Genomic DNA, 21,798 nt, shown 5'->3' on the forward strand with positions numbered 1-21,798 from the left:
TTACCCATATTCCTCATCAGCTTCTGAAAATAATCAGGATGCACTTCTGTTTGCACTTTATTCATTATGACTTAAGATTTCTCTCCCCACAATCTCCTTCTACTGTAGAGACAGGCTCATAGCAGGTGGCCAAGGAAGCTGATAGTCAATACCAGGGACCAGGAAGGTCGTGACCAGTCCTGGAGGCCCCAGGCTGTACTTCGACCTATAATAGACAGGGAATGGGAGTAATATCACAACTCAGCTCTCCAGGAGCATTGATACTTGGAAATTAGCGCTCTGCCTGTAGACTCCTTCACTCCAGGGATCTCCCTGGGTGCACTCTAAGAGCCAGACAGCACCAAATTAGGGGTTTGATTCTGGGTCAGGAGATGGAGGATCAAGCTGTGCAGCTGGGAACTCACCTTGCTGTTCTGGGCTCTCCTTTCCCTCATGTTGGGCCCATGCAACTGCTCGTCGCTGCTCAGGACTCAGAAAGGCCATTTGCTCAGGAGTGACAGCCACAGCCTGAGCACTGGTGAGACTAGATAGTTGGATGGGACTAAACACCACCTGAGGGCAGGGGTAGGAATCAGTGCATGCATGTAGTCCCCATTGGGCCCTGGCTCTCCTGTGGTCACCCCAGTCCATTAATACTTACAGCAAATTTAGGAGGAGGGATGACAGAAATGGCAAGAGGAGTAACGCCCTGGATCTGTCCCCGCAGCAGTGCTGAAAGAGCCAGGTCTGGGATCCCAGCTGTTGAAGCAAGTGGCATCCAAACATTGTCTTAGACTGACCTTCCCTCTCTTCAAACCTATAGACCTTCTCTAACTACTCCCAAAGTGCCCTATCATAGACCTTCCCCAATATGTCTCTAGCCCCTTATTTAAACACCCTCAGGCCCCCACCTTAAGAATTGCAGGGCAGTCTTCCATCCAGTCCACCCATGGTATAGAAACCAAACCAACTTGCACCAGCAGTGGCCCAGCTCCCCACCTGCTATGGTGCCAATTTCAGTGAAGATCTCAGGCCCCCAGTTACTGATTGGGCCAAACCCACCAGGCAGTACAAGTAGGTGGGCCAGAACCTCCAGTTGTTCCTCAGAGCACTGGAGATGCAGGGTGCCGAGGAAGAGAGCTGCTTGGCTGTAGAACAGTAGGAAGGAAGGAAGAAGAATTCGGCTTCAGTGAAAGGGGCTGTGGTCATGAGACAAAGGAAGAGATGGCTTCAAATGAGTTCCCTTCCTCCATGGGACCAGACCTTCATGATCCTTCTTTCCCCAGTAAGTCCACCTTTACCTCAGCACCACCACCCTCAGCCCCTTCACAAATGACCTGAACTCCCAACTGCTGATGTGCTGGAGCTCCTCTGGCCGCAGTCCACAGAGAGTATAACCCAGCGCTGTCAGATGAACGAAGTCCAGGTGGCTCACATGCCGACCACTCTGCCGTAGGAAACTGGAGACCACAATGCGGAGCTGGGGTGGGGGGTGGGAGAAGAGGGGAAGGAGGAAAGTTATGGAGAATTAATGGACAGGGAAGTGATAGGTGTTACTGGGTTATATTCTGTTACTATTAAGACCTAAGGAGTCATGGGGAAGGCTGAGGACTCAGAAAAGAAAAGGAAAGAAAAAGAGGAAGCCTCCAGGAAAAGAGGTAGGAGACAGTATTATGTGTCCAGGGCCTCAGAGTGAATAAATCAGAGTCCTGAAGGTCACTAGTATGGGGTATCAACAAAAGATAGAAAGAAGGACCAGGTAGGGTCACAGGAAAAAAATTCCTTGGGCTTTAGATGATCTATAGGGCTGGGTCTGTGGGATGGGTGTTTGGGAAGCCGTAGGGAGGAGGAAAAGTGTTACCTGAGTGGTGCTCCAGCCATCTATCTGCCCCAGGGTGCTCAGCACTCCCCAGTCCACTAGGATCAGCTCCTGTAGTTCCCGATCTCCTAGACCTATTAAGAGCCTACCAAGCTGCAGGATCTGCTCAGGACGAAATCCCCGGGGGGGACCCCACAACTAGGAGAAAGACAGGAACAATGTGAGTGGAAAAGCAGTGGATTGGGAGTCATACTGCTGGGTTTTAAGTCTTGCCTCTGCCCTTAGCTGTATAACTCTAGGTAAATCATTTGCCTTTTCTTTAGTTTCCTCCACTATAAAATGAGACCGTTGCCTTACAGTTCCTCTAAGGTGTTTTGAAAGACATTACAATCAGTGGAAAAGAAGAGCAAACTAACTCTAGTCCATGAGTTCCACACTTTTATGTGCATCAGACACAGAGACGCTTATTAAAACAGATGCCTAGGGCCCAGCACAGTGGCTAACAGCTGTAATCCCAGCACTTTGGGAGGCTGAGGTGGGAGGATTGCTTGAGCCCAGAAGTTCGAGACCATCCTGGGCAACATAGTGAAACCCCATCTCTACCAAAGATACAAAAATTAGCCAGGTGTGGTGCACCTGTAGTCCCAGCTACTTGAGAGGCTGAGGCAGGAGGATCGTTTGAACCCAGGATGTAGAGGTTACAGTGAGCCAAGATCACACCACTGCACTCCAGCCTGGATGCTGGGTGACAGAGTGAGACTCTGTCTCAAAAAAAAAAAAAAAAAAAAAAAAAGGAGATGCAGATGTCTAGACTCTTTCCCCCAGAGGCTTATTTTTTAATTTATGAGACAGGGTCTTGCTCTGACACCCAGGCTGGAGGGCAGTGGTGCGATCTTGGCACATTGCACCCTCCACCTCCTGCACTCATGGGATTCTCCTACCCCAGCCTCCTGAGTAGCTGGGATTACAGGCATGTGCCGCCACACCCAGCTAATGTTTTTTCTATTTTTAGTAGAGACAGGGTTTCACCATGTTGCCCAGTCTGGTCTCTAACTCCTGGGCTCAAGCAATCCACCTGCCTCCGCCTCCCAAAGTGCTGTGATTACAGGCATGAGTCACTGCGCCCAGCCTCCCCAAAGGTTTTTATTAAGTCAGTGAAGCATGGTAATCTGGCACTGGCACTGTTCCCATGCTCAGTTCAGCAGCACATACCCCAAAAAATTGGAATGATACAGAGATTTGCATGGCGCCTGTGCAAGGATAACACGCAAATTCATGAAGCATGCCTTTTTTTTTTTTTTTTTTTTTTGAGATGGAGTCTTGCTCTGTCACCCAGGATGGAGTGCATTGGCTTGACTTCGGCTCACTGCAAGCTCCCCCTCCCAGGTTCACGCCATTCTCCTGCCTCAGCCTCCCAAGTAGCTGGGACAACAAGTGTGCACCACCATGCCCGGCTAACTTTTTTGTATTTTTAGTAGAGACCGTGTTTCGCCGTGTTAGACAGGATGGTCTTGATCTCCTGACCTCGTGATCTGCCCGCCTTGGCCTCCCAAAGTTCTGAGATTATAGGCGTGAGCCGCTGCACCCAGCCGAAGCATGCCATTATTTTTTTAAGAAAGAAAAAAAAATAAAGAAAAAAATCTGTTCCCTTGATGATCGTGATATGCATTAAAATTTGGTAACCACTGCTTTCGTCCCTCTATTCATTATACTAGCTCTCTTTCCTCAATATTTATCTCCCTTCACCTCCTACTTGTGACCCAAATCTTCTAACTCTTCTATCTCTTGCTTCCCCCACCTCTCATCCAACTCTCCATTCTCTTTGTGTCCTACATCACACCCAAATAGCTTCCTCATGGCCAACCCCAGTTGGCTCTCCATCCCTAACCTGTTTTGCTTTGCCCATGGCTGCCCGCAGTTCCTCAGGCCCAAGTCCTGGGTCTCCTGCAAATAATGTCAGGCAGTCCTCAAAGTCTGAGAGCTCCATCTCTGCAATCTGGGTTGCAGACCAGGCTGCTGGGAATGTCCCTCGTACATCTGCACAATTTGGCACAGGTTCTGAAGGGGGAAGGCAGGGCCAGGAGGTCAGCGCAGTAATAAAATATGCCCAGAGAGATATCTGTAGATAGAGTGAGTCTTCCAACCTTTGGAGGATAGAGCACTGTGAGAAATAGGGATCAAAGGAGTATTACAGAGTAATATGTATAGGGCTTAGGAGATAATAGAACAAGAAGTGATTGGAGATGCCAAGACTTTTATAGATGGAAGACTGAGGATGTTATTCAGAGATTTAATGGTAGCACTGAATTTGAACCCAGTTCTCCAGCCTCACAATGTCTCCTTCAAAGCTTCTAGGGATCTCCCCAGCAGAGAGCTCCACACTTAGCCGAGCTAGAGCTGAGTCTAGAGCAGACACGAGAGAGCAGGAAAATGGAAGTTCTGGGCTAAAAGAAAACTTAATAGTTTACAAACTCCCAGAACTACAGAATTCTAGAACTACAAGAGGCTTGAAGATCATCCCTCTAAACTCTTTGCTTTATAAATTAGAAAACCCAGTCCCAGGGAAGAGCACATGTAGAACCCAGACCGTTTGATACTCCCTGTACATCCTGCTGGACATATAAGTATTTGGGTAGTTTCACCTGGAAGATCCTCAGCAGCTGGTCGCACCACCCCTGCTACCAGGGCTGCTTTCTTGGCAGCAAGCTGTGGCTCCCTACACAGCTGTCCAACTCTGCTCTGCTCCCAGCTCTGCTGCTTTTCTAGAAGCCGCTCCAGGGTCTCTGGACCCAAGGCCTCCTGCATGAGAAGGTAGAAGGAGAGTGGGGAGATCTGGACAGATCAGGACCTGCTGCTATAGCTCTAAGTCCAAAGTCCTGTCTCTGTTTTGCAGTCTCCCCCCAGATCTAGGCTTCATATCCTTTGCCCTCTTTGGCCACGGGTCCCCATAACCAGCTCACCAGTCCCCTCTATGCATTTACTCCCTTCCCTTCTTCCTTCATCTCACCCTGGGGATCAAGGAAATTGCCTCAGTAGACAGAGTGAATACTAGGCGTCCAGCTTGCTCTACTTCATCCTGGCTCCACAACTCTGGTTTCCTGGGGACAGGAAGAAAATCGGGGGCTGGGGAGCTGAGGGAACTGTGAGGAAAAGGAAGGGGAAAAGAGGACATGCTAGGATTTCGGACACAGGGCTCCAGGGGACCTTAAGAATATGGAACAGGCTGCCACTGATGATGGTGGCTGAGGGACTGGGTATAGAATGAGTTAGAATCTGAAGTTCTCGAAGGTCCATACCCAAGAACAGACTCCTGCAATAGCAGCCATCCCAGCTCTGTGGCAAATGTCTCTCCTAGGCAGAAGCCTTGCAGCTGACTGAGATGGGACAGCAGGATCTGTAGGGGGATCTGTCGTGTGCTCTCTGTCCCCAGGAATCCAACCAAAGGGCCTAAGGTCTCCAGCACTTCCCCTGAGACTGGAGTCTCCTTTGGAGCCTGGAGAAGAGCATCAGAACTTGGACAATGCACTTCTGACTCAGAATACCAGACACCTTGATCAAGACACCAAGCCCCCTAACCTTCCCTCCCTCCTGCTCCCAGCTCAGCACCCTATGATGCTCACTACCTTTGTTCACTTCCTTAAGCAATGAGCCCAGATAGGAGCAGGCAGAAAGACTGAGAGGTGGACTCCAAGAGATTTCTCGGACTCCAAGAGGTATGGACAAGTAACGTGAAGCATATTATCAAGGAACAGAACCCAGAGGCAAAACAGGGGCCAGGCCTTGTAGACAGGAATCTGTTTGGCAGCAAGAAAGCAAGAAGTAGAGGGTTGGGGGACAGTCAGAGAGCATTGTCTGAGGAGCAAGAATTGCCCAGGGCAGCAAATCTGAGTCTGGTAGGGTGGACTCTTACCAGGTTTTGTAGTGCCCTCTCTGCCAGGGCTGCCTGGTGGAGGGGGGTCAGTGCCAGCAGCTGCTCTGGAGCTCTTTGCACCAGCTCCACCACCAACATAATGGATTCATTGGATAGTCTGTCCATCAACTGGATCCTATTACAGCAATTTGACAACAACAGGATTCAGGTGGAGCTGGGCCAAGTCGAGAAGGGACCACAAAACCCCACAGTCCGCAGCTAAGATGTGACCCCAGACCAAATTTAGTGAAGCTGGACAGGAACTGATAGTAAACAGCTCCAGGGCCAATTCCCACCATCAAGCTTGAGTGGGGGAGAAAAAGGGAGCAACATATTTCTAGTCTTCCTAAAAAAAAAAAATAACGAACAATCCTACCTGATCTAATGGACTCAAAAGCTCCAAATATTAAGTACCATTAACATTTCCCCATTTTATAGATTAAAAAACTGAGGTTCACAGAGATCAAATGTTGAGGTCTCTCACTCCCAATTCCCGTTTTTTTCCACAGGACCACCCTTCCTCTGCTTGTGAAGAGGTCCCTTCTTGTTTGTACGTGCTATACAATTTACAAAGTTCTTTCAGGTGTTATCTCATTTGATCCTACAACAAGACCTGGCCTCACTCCATCACTCAGGCTGGAGCACAGTGGTGCTGCGATCTCAGTTCACTGCAACCCGCACCTCCCAGGTTCAAGCAATTCTCGTGCCTCAGCCTCCCGAATAGCTGGAATTACACGCACGTGCCACCACGCCCAGCTAACTTTTGTATTTTTAGTAGAGATGGTGTTTTGCCATGTTGGCCAGTCTGGTCTTGAACACCTGACCTCCGTGATCCACCCACCTTGGCCTCCCCAAATGCTGGGATTATAGGCATGAGCCACTGCACCCAGACAAAATAGGTGTTTCTCTTATCCTTCTTTCACAAATGAGAAACTCAAGTTTTTTGATGCATGGTCTAGGATCTTTCACCTCATCTGTAACCTTGGGATTCTAAATTATCTCACAGAACCCACATATTTAAACAGATCTGAATGGCATTAAAAAAAAGTAAAAACAGGCCGGACGCAGTGGCTCATGCCTGTAATCCCAGCACTTTGGGAGGCCGAGGCAGGCAGATCACAGGGTCAGAAATTCGAGACCACCCTGAGCAACATGGTGAAACCCCGTCTCTACTAAAAATGCAAAAATTAGCCGGGTGTGGTGGCACGCGCCTGTAATCCCAGCTACTCAGCAGGCTGAGGCAGGAGAATTGCTTGAACCCCAGAGGGAGAGGTTGCAGTGAGCCGAGATGGCACCATTGCACTCCAGCCTGGGTGACAGAGCGAGACTCTGTCTCAAAAATATAAATAAATAAACAAATAAATAAATAAATCCCTTTTACCCGAAATCAGAGGTGATAACCTGTACCCTACCTAGGATTACCAGTTCTGGAACTGGGCTAAGTCATACAAGAGCTGAAATCTGTGGAAAGGCCTATAAAAATATAAGAATGTTGGGAAGCCGAGGTGGGCAGATCACTTGAAGCCAGGAGTTCAAGACCAGCCTGGCCAACATGGTGAAAGCTCGTCCCTACAACAAATACAAAAATTAGCCTGGCATGGTGGTGCACACCTACAGTCCCAGCTACTCGGGAGACTGAGGCAGGAGAATTGCTTGAACCTGGAAGATGGAGGTTGCAGTGAGCCGAGATCACGTCACTGCACTCCAGCCTTGGTGACACAGCAAAACTCTGTCTCAAAAAAAAAAAAAAAGAAAAAAAAGAAAAAAGTAGGAATGAAGTCAACTGCTTTTACTCCACTTCAGCTCCATATTCCCCAGGAAGACTGTAACACCAGCATTTTCCTATCCTGACTTACAGTGCGGATGGCAACGGGGTGGTGGTAGGGGTAAAATGAGAAAAGCAGCATATGAGTAACATACTAATAAATTTCTCCATGGGTAGGGAGGAGCCTTGGGTTCCTATAGCCTTTTCTTCCCACAACCTGTATATGAACGTGCTCTACAACATTCCTGCCATGGGGCCATCTGGCTTAGGCTCGAACAGCTCCAAGGACCAGGAACTCACTACCTTAGTTTTTCTTATACTATGTAAAAATCTGATCTCCGTTAACTACTCTTAGTCTTGCCCAATGGGGCCACTCATAAATATGACAATCTAATTTCTACTTGATAGCCCCTCAGGTATTTGAAGGTATTTATCACATTTTTCATATATTTTTCTCTCGATCTACTCCTCTGAATGCACTAAGAACACAGTGCCCTGAGCAAACTACAATCCTCTGGGGCAGATTTGGAGCATTGCCTCCCTCACTTCAGATGCTCTGTCTCAATCTCAATTAATGTGGACTAGGTTATTGTAAGATTACTTGGCAGGCTTCAATACAGTGTTGCCACCCTCAGCTGCCCTGTGCTGGAGCATATTCTGGGAACCAGTCAATACATAGAGCAACTTTGAATAAAATCCTCTGCTTTGGGCTATAAATTATGTCAGGGAACTACCAGACAGAAAAACTACCTCCTCCAGGGCATTCCCTAAGGGCAGATCTTCACCCCAGATTGAGCTTTCTGAGGGGCCAATATCTCTAGCTGCAGTACTTACGGTAAGTCCAGGAGTAGCTTGCTATCCAGCCCGTTCAGTTCTGGCCCTACAGTTGTCCATTCTGGTTCTGGCATTGCCATCCTCCGCTGTAGCTCTGCCCAGATACAGGCCCTCTGTAGGGAAGCAGTGTGAGGCCAGAGCAGAACATAGGAGCTGGGTTCTATACCTAGGGTCCCAGCCTCCCTGCTCCCACTAAAGTCCAGGCACCCCCTCTCACCAGGCTCCCTCGAACTCTAGTGGGCAGCTGATAGATCATGTGCACCACTTCAAGGAAGTCTACCATGGAGTTGATCTGCTGCAGAAACTCACAGGACATGCCTCCTGCCAGGGTGCCCAGAGCCCTGTGGGTGTGTGAGTGGGGAGAGGCTCATTCAACACATACAACAGCCTGTTTGCTCCTTGATATCAGTACTCTCAACACAAGTACAGATGTTCATCCACCGTAATTTATGGTTTGAGAAATGTTTTTACATAGATATCTCATCAGCTCCCCATAACATCACTGCTGTTTATCAGAGGAGAAAATAAGGATTTATGGAAGTCAGGTGACATTCCCAACATCATTCTGCTAGAAATGTGGTAAACTGAAACTAGAGCCATGTCTTAGATTCTGAAGCCCTTGGGAGGCTGAGGCGGGTGGATCACCTGAGGTCAGGAGTTTGAGACCAGCCTGGCCAAAATGGTGAAACCCCATCTCTACTAAAAATACAAAAATTAGCTGGGTATGGTGGCACATTCCTGTAATCCCAGCTACTCCAGAGGCTGAGACAGGAGAATCGCTTGAACCTGGGAGGCAGAGGTTGCAGTGAGCCGAAATCGCGCCACTGCACTCCAGCCTGGGCAACAGAGCAAGACTGTCTCGAAAAAAAAAAAAAAAAAAAGATTCTGAAGCCCATTGTTCTTCTAATGTGGGTGTAAGTAAAGTGATACCTTCTTATTCCTATTTATTCTTGCTTGGCCAGTGCCTCTGAAGTCATCCTGAAGTAAACTAACAGTAGCAAATGACTACTGGGACTTTACAATGGACCAAACACTGTGTTAAATATCTTACATGACCTACCTCATTTAATCTTCACAGTAACTACCTATGAGGCTGGTGCCATTGTAATTCTCATTTAAAGAAGGGAAAACTGACACAGGGACGTTAAATGACTTGCCCAAGAGGACAAGTAGGTGACAGGACTGGAACCTGAATCCAGGTTTTCTGAGTCCTTTGGCTCTAGTCAGGATAGGCATGGCACTGTGGAAGGAAAGGAGGGCAAAGGGAGGTGCTAGGAGAACGTCCACGAGGCAGGGACTATGCATCATTCATCCCTATATCCCCCATTCCATATCACATGGTGCCTGGCACATAGTAAGCACTCAAAAAAATGTTGGTCGAATTCAGCGCACTGCTCAACACAAGTTACTCACTGCAGATTCCTGAGGGTAAGGTTGGTGGGTACTTGCATCTTCTTCCAGAGAAACTGTGCCTACAAGAGAAAGAAAGACGAGCCCCTTCCCAGAAGAGACACTGTCCAAGGATACCCCCTAGAGTGGAGAGGCAGGACTGCCTTGGACCCAGTCCTGCCTCCTCACTCTGTGGGACCCACCAGCCTCCCACTCTCCCAGATGCCCACTCTTCTCTCGAGAGTGAGAAAGAAATGAAAGAAAAGGGAAGGAGAAAGAAAAAGAAAAGCAAGTCACATTATAAGAGATACTAGGGGGCTGGGTGCAGTGGCTCAGGTCTGTAATCCCAGCACTTTGGGAGGCCAAGGCAGGAGGATTGCTTGAGGCCAGGAGTTCAAGACCAATCTGGACAGCATAGTACCTCAACATAGTGTCTCCACATAGTGTCCACATTTTTGTATTGTCTGTCTCTACAAAAAATTTAAAAATTGGCCGGGCATGGTGGCTCACACCTGTAATCCCAGCACTTTGAGAGGCAGAGGCAGGCAGATCACAAGGTCAGCAGTTCGAGACCAGCCTGGCCAATATGGTGAAACCCTGTCTCTACTAAAACAAAAAAAAAATTAGCCAGGCATTGTGGGGAGTGCCTGTAGTCCCAGCTACTCGGGAGGCTGAGGCAGGAGAATCGCTTGAACCCGGGAGACAGAGGTTGCAGTGAGCCAAGCTTGTGCCACTGTACTCAAGCCTGGGTGACAGAGCAAGACTTCATCTCAAAAAACAAAAAAAAAATTTAAAAATTAGCCAGGCATGGTGGTAACCACCTGTCGTCCTAGCTATTCAGGAGGCTGAGGCAGAAAGATTGCCTGAGCTCAGGAGTTTGAGGTTACAGCGAACTCTGATCATGCCACTGCACTGCAGCCTGGGCAACAGAGTGAGACTGTATCTCAAACAATCAAATAAAGGATAGTAGGGATAAGCTGGCCAAATAGGGCTAAGGGATAGGTAAAGAAGGTAGACTACATTGAGGGAGGAAGTTCTGAAATTAAGTGGGGAGAATTACCTGCTGCTCAGACCAGGGCAGCTCCCAGTAGCGTCTTCGATTTGCCAGAAGAGCCAAGGAATCCAGTTGTAGCAGCTTTAATGGGAGCAGGGGAAGCAGGCAGTCTGGCCAGGTGGTGGGAATAGGCTGCTGGCGGTGATGGGTATAGCAGTGTAGTGATAGGTGAGAGAGTCTGTACTTAGCACTCAGAGAAAAGGAACCATGGGGGTGGAAAGGGACCAAAGCTAGGACAGAAGTGGAATGGCATTTGCCACTGTAGCAATAAACGCCTAAGAGCCTCACACTGCAGGCTGCTGTGGTCAAGTGTTGCTGCTAGTTAGGCACCAGGCAAACAAAGTCCCTTAGCTTCTCCCAGCCTTGGTCTTTTCATCTGAAAGCAGGGTGGGTGGCCTGGAAGATTTCTCAGGCCCTTCCAGCTTTGACATTAGTCTAGGACAATGTGAGTGGATCATGCTGTCCTGCATCTGGCACTGGGGAGGGCTGCTAATGGGCACAGAGCTAACCAGAACTCTCAGGGCCACTGCAGGGTAGTGTGGGAGGTAGCACCAGCCATATGAAACTGCCCCAGAATGGGGAGAGGAGCTCAGTTGGGAGATCTCACACTTACCTGACCAGGGATACACACAGCTGGACCAGCACCTGTTGTACCCATATTTTTAACACCATCTTTAACCTGCATGAGAATTGGTTGTGTGTGTGTGTGTGTGTGTGTGTGTGTGTGTGTGTGTAAGTGGGGAGGTATGAAAGGCCTTCCCTGGCCTCAGGGAAGATGCCTTCCTCCCAACCAGAAAGAGCCGGTATCCCTGATTATCTCATCCTCCTTGCCACTCTCATACCCGAAAGGTCTGCAGCAGTGCTGCGGTCTGGCAGGCTGAGAGGCGTGACAGTTCAGGGGCCAGGCAGGAACAAGCCCCGACCAGGACTCGCCTAGGGATGGCCTGGAGTGTCTGGGGGCTGAGGCCTGGTAGCAGAAGGTGCAAGGAGCAGAGTTCCTCCAGGGATAGCTAAAGAGCAAGAGAGACAAGAGGCCTGAAGAAGAAGGGAAGGGTGTTGGGGAAGACAACAATCACAATGCAGCAAGGCAGTAAGTATGAGGGGAGCGGAGAGAGAGGAGGGGCAGATGCAGGAGCCAGGTTAAAAGAGGATAGAGACCTCTGGCGGGAGGCTGAGAAGTTGCTGCTACTCACATCGTGCCTAGGAAGGAGCCGTCCAAGCAGCAGGACAGCCTGTGTTGGGATGGGACCGAAAACAACAGCTCTCAGGACCCAGCAGCCAGGTCCTAAGTGGGTTCCTAAGGCAAACCCTCCAAAACTTCCCGCTGCCTCTTAACCATCCCTAGTAACCATCCTCAGTGACTCAGGTCCCTTCTTGATCTGAGGAAAGGGAATGAAGGCGTCCTCCTGCAGACAGAGTTTACCTCTACTGTTCACCCAGGGAAAGGAGGGGCTGCTTTTATCCCTGAATGGGATTCTCTTGACTGGGGCTCAAGCGGGGATGGAGGGTACATGCCAGGGAGTGAGACAGGCAAACCTGAGCAGGTGTAACACTAGTTCCCTGCAGGACAGGAAGCATGGCTCTAAGCTGGGGCTCTGACAGCTCCTGAAGGAAGCGGAGGCCCAGCTGAGAGAAGAGAGGGGCCCAGACCCGCAGCTCCCGGGGGCTCAGCACCGCTCCTCCAGATGAGCGCAACACACCCAGAAGTTCATATGCCACCTGTAACCAAAGAAGGTTTAGGACTGGAGAGAAAAGACAGATGAACCTTGAACTTCCTCTCTAATCCCACATCTGAATTTCCCAGGGCCTGGGCTAGGGTTTGGAACTAGGGATTGGACTGGAGTAGATTAGGTTCAAAATGGCAAAGGGTATGTTTGGGGTGCTACAGACCAGATAGAGAAGGGCCAGGAAGAGGTGGTAACAGGTAAGAATGGCCATGGAGTAAGGAATGGAGGTTGCAAAAGTGGGATGGGGGCTGGCACCACTGTGCTCAAGTTGACACAATGGGAAAGCCATCCACACAGACCCAGGGGAAGCCTAAAGTCTTGTAGGCTTGTGCTGAGGGGCTCACCCGTCCTTCTGGGCTGAGGGTCCCATTGGCTGCACATTCCAGCAGCCCCCGTTCTACTGGCCCCGTTGGATCACTCAGGGGCACTAGGCTCTGCAGCTCCTCAGGGCTCAGGAAACAGGCGAGGGGCCCAAGCCTGAGGAGGGCATGAAGCTGACCTTTGTGTGGTCCCCAAGACTAGCACTAAGGCAGGCCTGGCAGCAGATGGTATGGGTACATACACTGGGCACTCTGACACTACACCACTACACAGGGGCACCATCTATAGACCTCTCTCCTGGAACTCTATGCTGCCTGAGGCCACTGCCTACTCTCTTGCCCCTTTCTTCCTAGAACACCGACCCAGCGTGACAGCTGTGCCTTCCTCTCTCTACCTCTTCCACTCTTGCCTTGGTTACTGATCCCACAACAACTCACCTGCGTACCTGCTCCTCACCATCCTGGACACTCTGGTTTACCAGGCTGCGCAGCACATGGCGGGCATGCCCTGGCCCCAGACCTGCTGCTGGCCAGCTATCCTCCAGGGCCTGGATCTGAGATGGGGAAGGTTAGCTCGCACTGGGGTCACTATAGGGTTCTTGCAGGGAGGGGCCACTGAGAGACATGCCATTGACTCTTTGTCCCCACTAGCAGAAGATGGGCCAGTCAAGTAAAGAAGATGATTCTCATACCTGGTGAGGGCTGAGCTGCAAAAAGTTCTCCAGAGGGAGGTGGGGGAGCAGGGGCAGCACTGCCCACAGCAGCTCCTGGGGCCAGGCAGGCACTTCCCCAAACAGTTCAGGGGCCAGCAGTCGCTTTGCCAGAGCCTCCTTCTGTTCAGGCCTCATTCCTGGGCTGTAATCCCGGATGGCAGCCAGGCTGCGAGGAGTCATGGGTCTTAACCCTTTGTCTTCCTCCAAACTGTTTTCCTCTGACCCTCTGTAGCCCTGCTGTCTAGATAGGAAGGAGACTCTCCCTGTTTTTTTGTTTTGTTTTGTTTTTTGTTTTTTTTAAGACGGAGTCTCGCTCTGTCACCCAGGCTGGAGTGCAGTGGCACGATCTTGGTTCACTGCAACCTCTGCCTCCCAGGTTCAAGCTATCCTCCTGCCTCAGCCTCCAGAGTAACTGGGACTACAAGCGCCCACCACCATGCCTGGCTAATTTTTGTAGTTTAATAGAGACGGGGTTTCACCATATTGGCCAGGCTGGTCTCGAACTCACTAGGCGGACCTAGTGATCCACCTGCCTCGGGCTCCCAACGTGCTGGGATTACAGGCATGAGCCACCACGCCCATCCTCTCCCTGGTTTTAATAGAGAGGAGCTCTCTGATCCTTTTGTAGTTCATTAGCATAATGATTGGGTTTTCACACTCAGGCGTGAGATGTGCCTCTCTCAAACCTTGCTACGATGTTGGCACATTGCCTATCTGGCATGAAAGAAAAAAACAGAGAGGAGCTCCGGAAGGGGCTGCTCCAGGTGGATGCGGTTGGCCTGACCGTGACAGGAGCAGGAGGAGTAGTGCAAGAACCTTACACACTGTCGTTGGCTAACAGGGATGGTGGGAAGCGCATCAGGTCAGAGACAGCCAAGAAAGGGATGAGTGGTGACAGGTCAATGAAGAGCTGGGAGGTGAGGCGTGGGTACCGCTGGAGCAGCAGGGCTGTCAGGCGACCCAGGGCCTGCTCCTCGGATGGTGGTACCTGTAGGGGCACAGGAATGGATTCTGCCTCTGGAGATGCTCAGTATCCCTGCCATTTCCTCTCTGGAGTTCCTCCTCCCACTAAAGCAAGCCCTCTGAACACTAGGCTCCAGGTGCCCTTGCTCCCCTTTCTCAGTGCTCACCTGCAGCTTCCCCTGCAGCTTCCCCTGCAGCATGAGTGTCAGGAAGCCCTGTGCAGCCTCCCTCTCTGCTGAAAGCACCAGCTGCTGGAGGTTTTCTGGGGGCATATGCAGGTACGCCTGCGAATAGGAGGTCATGGTGGGTATGGCCTCACCTCACGGGGCAGGGACCTCCAGCCATGGCTGTCACCCAGCCCACCCATGTGCCCTCCACCTGTTACCTGCACTAGAATCTGCAGGGCCCAAACACTCTTTTCCCTCTGGAGCAGATCCCACAGCACAGGCTGGTGGGAAGAAAGACAATATGCCAACAGAGCTGTCTTCTCTGTCTCTCCTGCAGCTCCCCCAGGCATTCCAGCTCCACTTGCTGGGATGCTTGTCCATCATCTCAAGTGTGATTCTTCAGATATTAAGCTCTTTTAGGTCCGGGATCATATCTCTAATTTCTCTTGTACCCTCTCCCATGCCAGGTCCATAGTTGGCTCAATTAATACTTGTAGACCTGAACCAAATACTATGAGACTATCTAATTCCATTTTACTGGGCCCAGGGTTTGAAAAAGGTGGCCCCAACATGGAGTAAGAAATCTTTATATATCCTACAGAACCTAGCAAAGTGCCTTGCATATAATAGGCACTCAGTGAATTAATTATGGTGTTTAACATATTCTCACCCCTCCATTCTACAGACTAAAAACTGAAGCCCAGAAAAACTAAATGAAATTGCTTGCCTAAGATCACACTAATTTGTGGCACAGTTGAACCTAGAACCAAAGTCTTCTGATTGGTAGTGTCCCTGAATCTTTCTCATTCCTACCTTATCTTCCTGTATTCTGCCAGCCTCCAATTCTCACTCTCTAGGGGAAAAATTTAGAGTCCTCTAACTTGATCCTTTTTCTTTCTGGTGCAGAAAGTGAGAGAGTCAAAGAGCCCAAAAGAATAACAAGGTAATATTTATTGCATGTTTGTGTATCATGCACTGTGCTAAGCCCACAGCATGTATTATCTCATATACCATTATCATCCCTAGTTTATAAATGAGACGAGAAAAATATTGCTCAGAGAAGTTAAATAACTCATTCAAGGCTGGTCACAGAACCAAGATATGAATCCAAGCCTGTCTGACTCTAGAGCTGTGTGCTTCAACTACTACCCCACACTACTGCCTCTGAGTATTCGAGGAATTCCCCTGGAGGGCCTTCTCACTGTTCTAGGAGCTTTCCCTCTGGCAGAGCACTCACACTAAAGCAGGCCAGCAGCTCCATCTTGCTTATACCAGAGCTGGGGTTGACAGTGGGTTCAAAGCCTGATGGGGTTGGCTGCTCCTCATCTTGTTCCAGGTATTCCCCAATCGTCCGTAGCACACTGCGCCGGCCCTCTGGGCGAAAGGCATCCCAGAAGGAGCAGTTGTCTGGGAGACTGGAGAGCAGTAGGGCCCGACCCAGCATCCCCTGGGCCTCAGCGCCCCCAGCCCCTGGACCCAAGAGGAAGGTCAGCAGGCGGAGGAGATAGTGTAGGCGTGTGGGGTGAGCAAGAGCTGGGACAGAGGACTGACAGCGTGGCAACTGGGATAGCATGCCAAGGAGGAAGGGGCCAGGGGTCAGACAGAGTGGGGATGGTCCCAGTGGTGGCAGAGAGGGCAGAAGGGGGCCCAGCAGCCCTTCTAGGAAGCAAGTGTCATTGCCCCCACGACTTATCCTGCATTGGCCTGCTAGCCAAGGCCAGAAGGGCACCAGGACCTCATACATGGTGTCATTGGCACAGACCATCACCAGGAAGCTGCCCCCATCCGGGCAGCGTTCCCCACAGGGTCCAATGTGGCATGGTGGGGAGGCAGTGACATCTGGGGTGGGGCCCTGGCACACATGCTGGACCCAAGCCTGGTTGCTGGGGGGCACAGCCTGTAGACTTGCCTCCCCACACAGTCGCTCAGCCCACAGAGTCTCATTCTCCAAGAAGCAGCCCCAAAAGATGTCTGGGGTGAGGGGAACAGGGGGCAGGCCTTCAGGGCAGCTGGTAGGGGGTGGGAGCAGGCCAGCACAGAGCCGCTTCACCAGGCGGCGGTTGGAGCCAGACAGGGCTGAAAAGGAGAGGTTACTGCAGATCGCATCCAAAAACTCATCAGGAAACTGGTCGTGGCAGGCCTGTAGCCAGCCTTGGGCACCTGGTGCCCAGGACACTGCATACCACACAGCTGTCTGGCAGATGGCAGTGGTGCTGGGATGGGGCTGTGGAGTGGCAGGCTTGGTGTGCTGGCAGAGCAAGTGGATGGAGAAGTTGGAAATGCTGTAGGGTGGTGCTGGGCCTAAGTGGTTCTCACAGAGGGCCTCCACAGTGATGGCTCGCCGTTGGCGTGGGCTGATGTGGGCTGACGGCTGAGAAGCTCTGGGCAGAGGCACGCCCGTGCTCAGGCAGTGAAGGAGGGCAGGGGGTGGGGGTGGTGATCCAGACAGAAAGCCCAGCGCCTGGACATCCCAGGAAAGGTTGTGCCGGACGCCCCTGGGTGCAGAGGGAGGAGCAGGCAGGATCTGGTCAGTTCACATTTCCTCCAGCTGAAGATTCTGACCCTGACTCAGAGCCCTCAAGGGGCATGGCAAGCATAGGCTTTTCTACAAGCGAGGTCCCTGAGAGTTTAGGCGTTACTGGTTGAAATGCTGCAACGGGGCAAAAAAGAGAAAGCTGCCCTGCCAAGGTCCAAAATCACCTAGGAGAAGCCCCAGTTGGAATTCTTTCTGTCCACCTGGCCCCCTTCTGTCTCCTTTCTTCGTATGCTTTTAGATAGCTTAAACACAACCCTCAGCGGGCCTCATGTTAGGAAATCTGCTCAGCAACTCAATATGTCTAACTACTGTCTGGCATTGTTGTACTGAAGTAGTAAGGGGGTAGAGGAATCCAGCTGTGTCCTTATTTTCCAAATCCCATCTTTACTAGCTAACATTATTAAGCGCTATGTGCCAGCACGGTTTTAAGTCGTTTGCATACACAGTATCAACTCATTTAACCGGGTGCAACAACTCTGTGGTAACTAATATTATCATTCTCATTTTATAAATGGGGAAACTGAGGTATAGAAAGACTATGTAACCTGCTCAAGGTCATATGGCTAGGAAGAGGTGGAGCTGGGACACCAACCCAGACAGTCACACCCCAAAACCACTAAACTACACTCCTCCCATCAGTTTTCCTCTCTAGAGGCTGAGGTCTTCAGCTCTTCACCTCCAGATTTTCCAGGCCCAATCCCTCAGAACTGGTCTCCTGTTACTTACCATAAGAGCAGCTGTTGAAGGTTACCTAGGAGGGAAAGAGTAAGGAAGAAAACTACCCCAATTTCACTTTCCTTGCCCTGCCACATCCCAGTCCCAGCCCTGGCCACACTCACCTCCCTGGCACTGCCCATTGGTATCAGGCTCTGGCTGCCCCAAAATGGAGAAGACCTCATCCTGCAGGGAGTGAGTGACACGGAGCAGCCCCTCCTGAAAGGCAGCATAGAGGGGGGCCCCCACTGTGCGTAGCAGACCGCCCCAAAGAGCCTCCTTGGAGCCTAGCTCCCCTGTTGGGGTAAGCAAACCCAACAGACCCTGCAAAAAGTGAGGAGCTGCCTCCCTCCCATCGAGGCCTGTGGCATTGGTGGGGTCCACACTGGGCTGCACCTGCACCAGAGCTTGCCAGCGTGTGCCCTCTAACAACAGCAGCAGAGAAGGCAACCAGTCAGCAGCCAGGACACAGTCAGACGGCCCATCACGGGTGCATGGGGGCCGAGTTGGGGTAGGGGGGCCCCCAGGAACTAAGGCTCCCAGCAGCACCTCCACAAGTCCACCCAGCACCCCTGCCTGGTGCACCAGGAAATCTCGGGGAGTCTGCTCCTGTCCCAGCAGTGCCAGCATATCCCCTAGCAGCCCTAGCATTGGCTCCCAGTCGGGGCTACCTCTCAGTGTCACTAGAAAATCATGGAGCCGCAGAGCAGGCGGCTGGAGAGGTGGGGGCTCTCCTACTGGTCCTTCCCCCATTCTCCCAGGCTCAAAGGAAGAAGAAATGTTGGCCAGGAATGTAAAGAACCGTGAGCGGCTCAGGGAGCCCTGGGGAGCCTGGTCCAGAGTGGAGAGCAATGACTTCAGGAAGGAGAGACCAGGGTCCAGGGAATGAGGCCCAGTAGGGGCCAGAGTCACTGTAAGGAGAGAAACCAGAGGTCACTGAAGGAGAGGAACACAGAGCCCAAACTCAACCCTGCCCCTGAGCACAGTTCCCTACCTGGATCTAAAGATGAGGTGAGGGGATGGTGAGCTGAACCCCTTTCACTGGCCTACAGTAAGTCTTGGCCTGCTTTTCTTAACCCTCATTTTTCCCTTTTGCACAAGTCTCTGCCTCTCTCCTTTGTCCTTCTATCTAACAGGTTCACCTCCATATTCTTAAAGTCTTTTTCCAGCCACCCTCCTCCTCATCCCCAGTTCTGCTCACTGTTCTTCTTACCTGCAAAGGACAGCAGCAGCAGCAGCAGCAGCAGCAGCAGCAGGGGCCAGAGGCTGAGAGCCATGTTTCCAAGTGAACACTGGTACCGGAGGTGAGTTCTGGTTATTCTCACCTGTGTGGGATAGCCAGGTGAGGGCAGGGCACTGCAGGCAACCTGAGGCTCCACTGACACTGTAGTGTGGTCTTTCAGGAAACAATATGTGTAACCTGACAGCAGGTTTGTTACCTGAGCCGCTGAATATCTGATCCTTTAGCTCTGGAGAAGGGTATGCTTCTGTGAGAGGGACTAATGATAGGGGATCCCAGGGGCCCCTCAGAGAAACCCAAGGAGATTGCTTGAGTTAGGAGCCAGTGATGCAGAAAGGAACAGGCAGACATGGAGATGGAGAACTGGAGACCAGGGGTGTAATCTGGGGTTCTGCAGAAGCAAAGAAAACAAAGAGGATATGAAGGAGCTAAGAAGCAAGTAGGATTTGAGGAAATTGAAGAAGAAATGACGCCCAGGAGAAACAAACTGCACAGCAAGGTATAAACAGACGAGAGGTCCAGTCCAAGGATGGAGAATTCAGGAAGAGGAGAGCTGCTTTCAACTACTACCCAGAACCACAGAGTGTCAAGAGCTGAGCAGTACCCCAGAGATCACATACACCAAACTTTTTCACTTATGGATAAGGAAACAGACCCAGAGAAATGTGATTTGCTCATTAGGCCATTCAAATGTTTGGGTCTTTCCTTCCCCCTCCGGGATCCCCTATCATTTGGTTCTTTCTCTGTGGCCTAGGTGAAAGCCCTATCAAAAACTCTGAGCTGAGAAGACAGAAACCAGATTAAATCACTATGCACAGGGACTGATCTCCCTACACACAGAACTGCTCATGGAACAGAGAAAGAGATTTCATTCAAAATAATCTGGTCTGGTCAGGGTTAGAAGTCTTTTTTCGTCATTTTTGTTTTTTGTTTTATTGGTTTTTTGGTTTTGGTTTTTTTGAGATGGAATCTCTCTCTGTTGCCCAGGCTGGAGTTCAGTGGGGCTATCTGACCACTGCAACCCCTGCCTCCTGGGTTCAAGCGATTTTCCTGCCTCAGCCTCCCAAGTAGCTGGGATTACAGGCACGTGCCACCACACCCAGCTAATTTTTGTATTTTTAGTAGAGATGGGGTTTCACCATGTTGGCCAGGCAGGTCTTGAACTCCTGACCTCAAGTGATCTGCCCACCTCAGCCTCCCAAAGTGCTGGGGTTACAGGTGTGAGCCACCGCGGCATTTTTTTTTTTTTTTTTGAGATGGAGTCTCACTCTGTTACCCAGGCTGGAGTGCAGTGGCACTATCTTGGCTCACTGCAATTTCTGCCTCCTTCATTCAAGCGATTATCCTGTCTCAGCCTCCCAAGTAGCTGAGGACTACAGGCATGCGCCACCGCGCACGGCTAATTTTTGTATTTTTTGGTGGAGACGGGGTTTCACTATGTTGCCCAAGCTGGTCTTGAACTCCTGACCTCAAGTGATTTATCCACCTCAGTCTCCCAAAGTGCTGAGATTACAGGCTTGAGCTACTGCCCCAGTCCAGGATTAGAAGTCTTTTCCATTCTCCATCTATATCTCCCCAAAGGCCTTCACTTTATACCAACTCTAAATAGTAATTCAACACTGAAGCTATACCCAAACTTTTATTCTGTCCTTCTTTCCCTAGAACCCTTCCCCATTCTCTCCCTCAAATCCACACATGGAACTTCATTATTAATGTGCTTCTGATCTAGAAGATTCACTTAGGATCATAGAGTTTTATTTTTGTGTATTTATTTACTTAGAGACAGGGTCTTGGTCCATGGCCCAGGCTGGAATACTGTGGTATGATCCTAGCTCACTGCACCCTCAAACTCCTGGACTCAAGCAATCCTCCTGCTTCGGCCTCCCAGGATCACAGAAGAGACCTGAGGAATCCTCTGGTAAGAACTTCTCATTTTATAGACAGGGGAATTGAAGCCCAGAGAAATGGAATGACTTAACCCAGGTCACAAAGACAGCTGGGAGCAATGATGGGATTTTCCAAGGCAAATCAAAAGTTGAGATCAGTGAAATGATCTGTTGTGTAATTTTACCAATATTCCCTTTGCCCATCAAGGATACCACACCTAGTCTAAAAAGCAGACAGTTGAATCTGAGGGAGAATACGACCTGAGTTCCCAACAGCTTTGTGGTTCCAGCCCATCCTGTAATCCTTCTGAATTTCTGCCCTTCATTCTGTAACAACCCTCTTATAATAAATTATCCTTCTTTCCTCATAGGGTAGCAAAAAATGAGATGGTCTAGGTTCAAACCCTGGTTCCAACATTTACTAGCTGTGTGTCCTGGGGCAGTTTCTAAATCTCTGTTTTTGGTTTTTTGGGTTTTTGTTGTTGTGGTTGTTGTTGCTGTTGTTGTTTTTACTGTAAAAAGGAAAAAACCCTAGTGTAGAGTTTTTGTGAGGATTAAATTAGATAATGCATTTAAAGTACTTAGTGCAATGTCTAGCATTCATTCAACAAAGATTAAGCACTTATTATGGGCCAGACACTGGTACAGAATAAACATTCACTCTATGTTACTATTACTATTATTAGAATAGCTCAAGATGAATTTTTCTACTTGAAACTAAAGGAGTTCTAATGAATACATAAATGATTATCTGGAAGTTGTATCTTGAGTGAAAGACCTTC

General features: G+C 50.2%; 1 protein-coding gene, 1 non-coding gene and 1 pseudogene across 2 annotated transcripts, besides 2 other annotated features; 2 read left to right on the top strand and 1 right to left on the bottom strand.

Moving 5' to 3' along the window:
• STRC (stereocilin) lies at positions 8 to 19,245 on the bottom strand. Its single transcript, NM_153700.2, has 29 exons — positions 19,104 to 19,245; positions 18,016 to 18,801; positions 17,903 to 17,927; positions 15,878 to 17,135; positions 14,859 to 14,921; positions 14,641 to 14,757; positions 14,332 to 14,498; positions 13,490 to 13,676; positions 13,236 to 13,351; positions 12,822 to 12,954; positions 12,287 to 12,469; positions 11,944 to 11,982; positions 11,593 to 11,760; positions 11,364 to 11,429; positions 10,757 to 10,882; positions 9,721 to 9,779; positions 8,525 to 8,648; positions 8,308 to 8,420; positions 5,709 to 5,844; positions 5,095 to 5,291; positions 4,806 to 4,896; positions 4,441 to 4,597; positions 3,687 to 3,856; positions 1,841 to 1,996; positions 1,317 to 1,459; positions 979 to 1,127; positions 641 to 738; positions 405 to 552; positions 8 to 205 (listed from the first exon to the last, which is right to left on the bottom strand). Exons 1-29 carry the CDS (start codon positions 19,165 to 19,167, stop codon positions 117 to 119), a joined length of 5,328 nt encoding a protein of 1,775 aa, NP_714544.1. The 5' UTR covers positions 19,168 to 19,245; the 3' UTR covers positions 8 to 116.
• RNU6-554P (RNA, U6 small nuclear 554, pseudogene) lies at positions 2,988 to 3,093 on the top strand (annotated as a pseudogene).
• Positions 13,444 to 13,943: an enhancer, noted in NCBI's record as "H3K4me1 hESC enhancer chr15:43905197-43905696 (GRCh37/hg19 assembly coordinates)". NCBI's record gives its function as "activates a minimal SCP1, AML or CMV promoter by ChIP-STARR-seq in naive H9 embryonic stem cells {active_cell/tissue: H9 hESC(naive)}" and the evidence as "EXISTENCE:reporter gene assay evidence [ECO:0000049][PMID:30033119]".
• On the top strand, positions 14,127 to 14,230 carry LOC124903598 (small nucleolar RNA U13). Its single transcript, XR_007064825.1, has one exon. It is a non-coding gene; the product is annotated as a small nucleolar RNA U13 (small nucleolar RNA).
• Positions 15,782 to 16,655: an enhancer, noted in NCBI's record as "H3K4me1 hESC enhancer chr15:43907535-43908408 (GRCh37/hg19 assembly coordinates)". NCBI's record gives its function as "activates a minimal SCP1, AML or CMV promoter by ChIP-STARR-seq in naive H9 embryonic stem cells {active_cell/tissue: H9 hESC(naive)}" and the evidence as "EXISTENCE:reporter gene assay evidence [ECO:0000049][PMID:30033119]".

The sequence above is a fragment of the Homo sapiens genome, chromosome 15 (genome assembly GCF_000001405.40).
Source record: "Homo sapiens chromosome 15, GRCh38.p14 Primary Assembly".
Taxonomy (NCBI): domain Eukaryota; kingdom Metazoa; phylum Chordata; class Mammalia; order Primates; family Hominidae; genus Homo; species Homo sapiens.

Excerpts from the sequence above, each read along its gene's own strand:
- STRC (NM_153700.2), bottom strand. The coding sequence starts at position 19,167 with ATGGCTCTCAGCCTCTGGCCCCTGCTGCTGCTGCTGCTGCTGCTGCTG. Across the intron at positions 14,758-14,858 it reads CCCTGCAGATTCTAGTGCAG|GCGTACCTGCATATGCCCCC; the intron begins GTAACAGGTGGA and ends TCCTATTCGCAG. Across the intron at positions 4,598-4,805 it reads CAATTTCCTTGATCCCCAGG|GAGGCCTTGGGTCCAGAGAC; the intron begins GTGAGATGAAGG and ends CTTCTCATGCAG.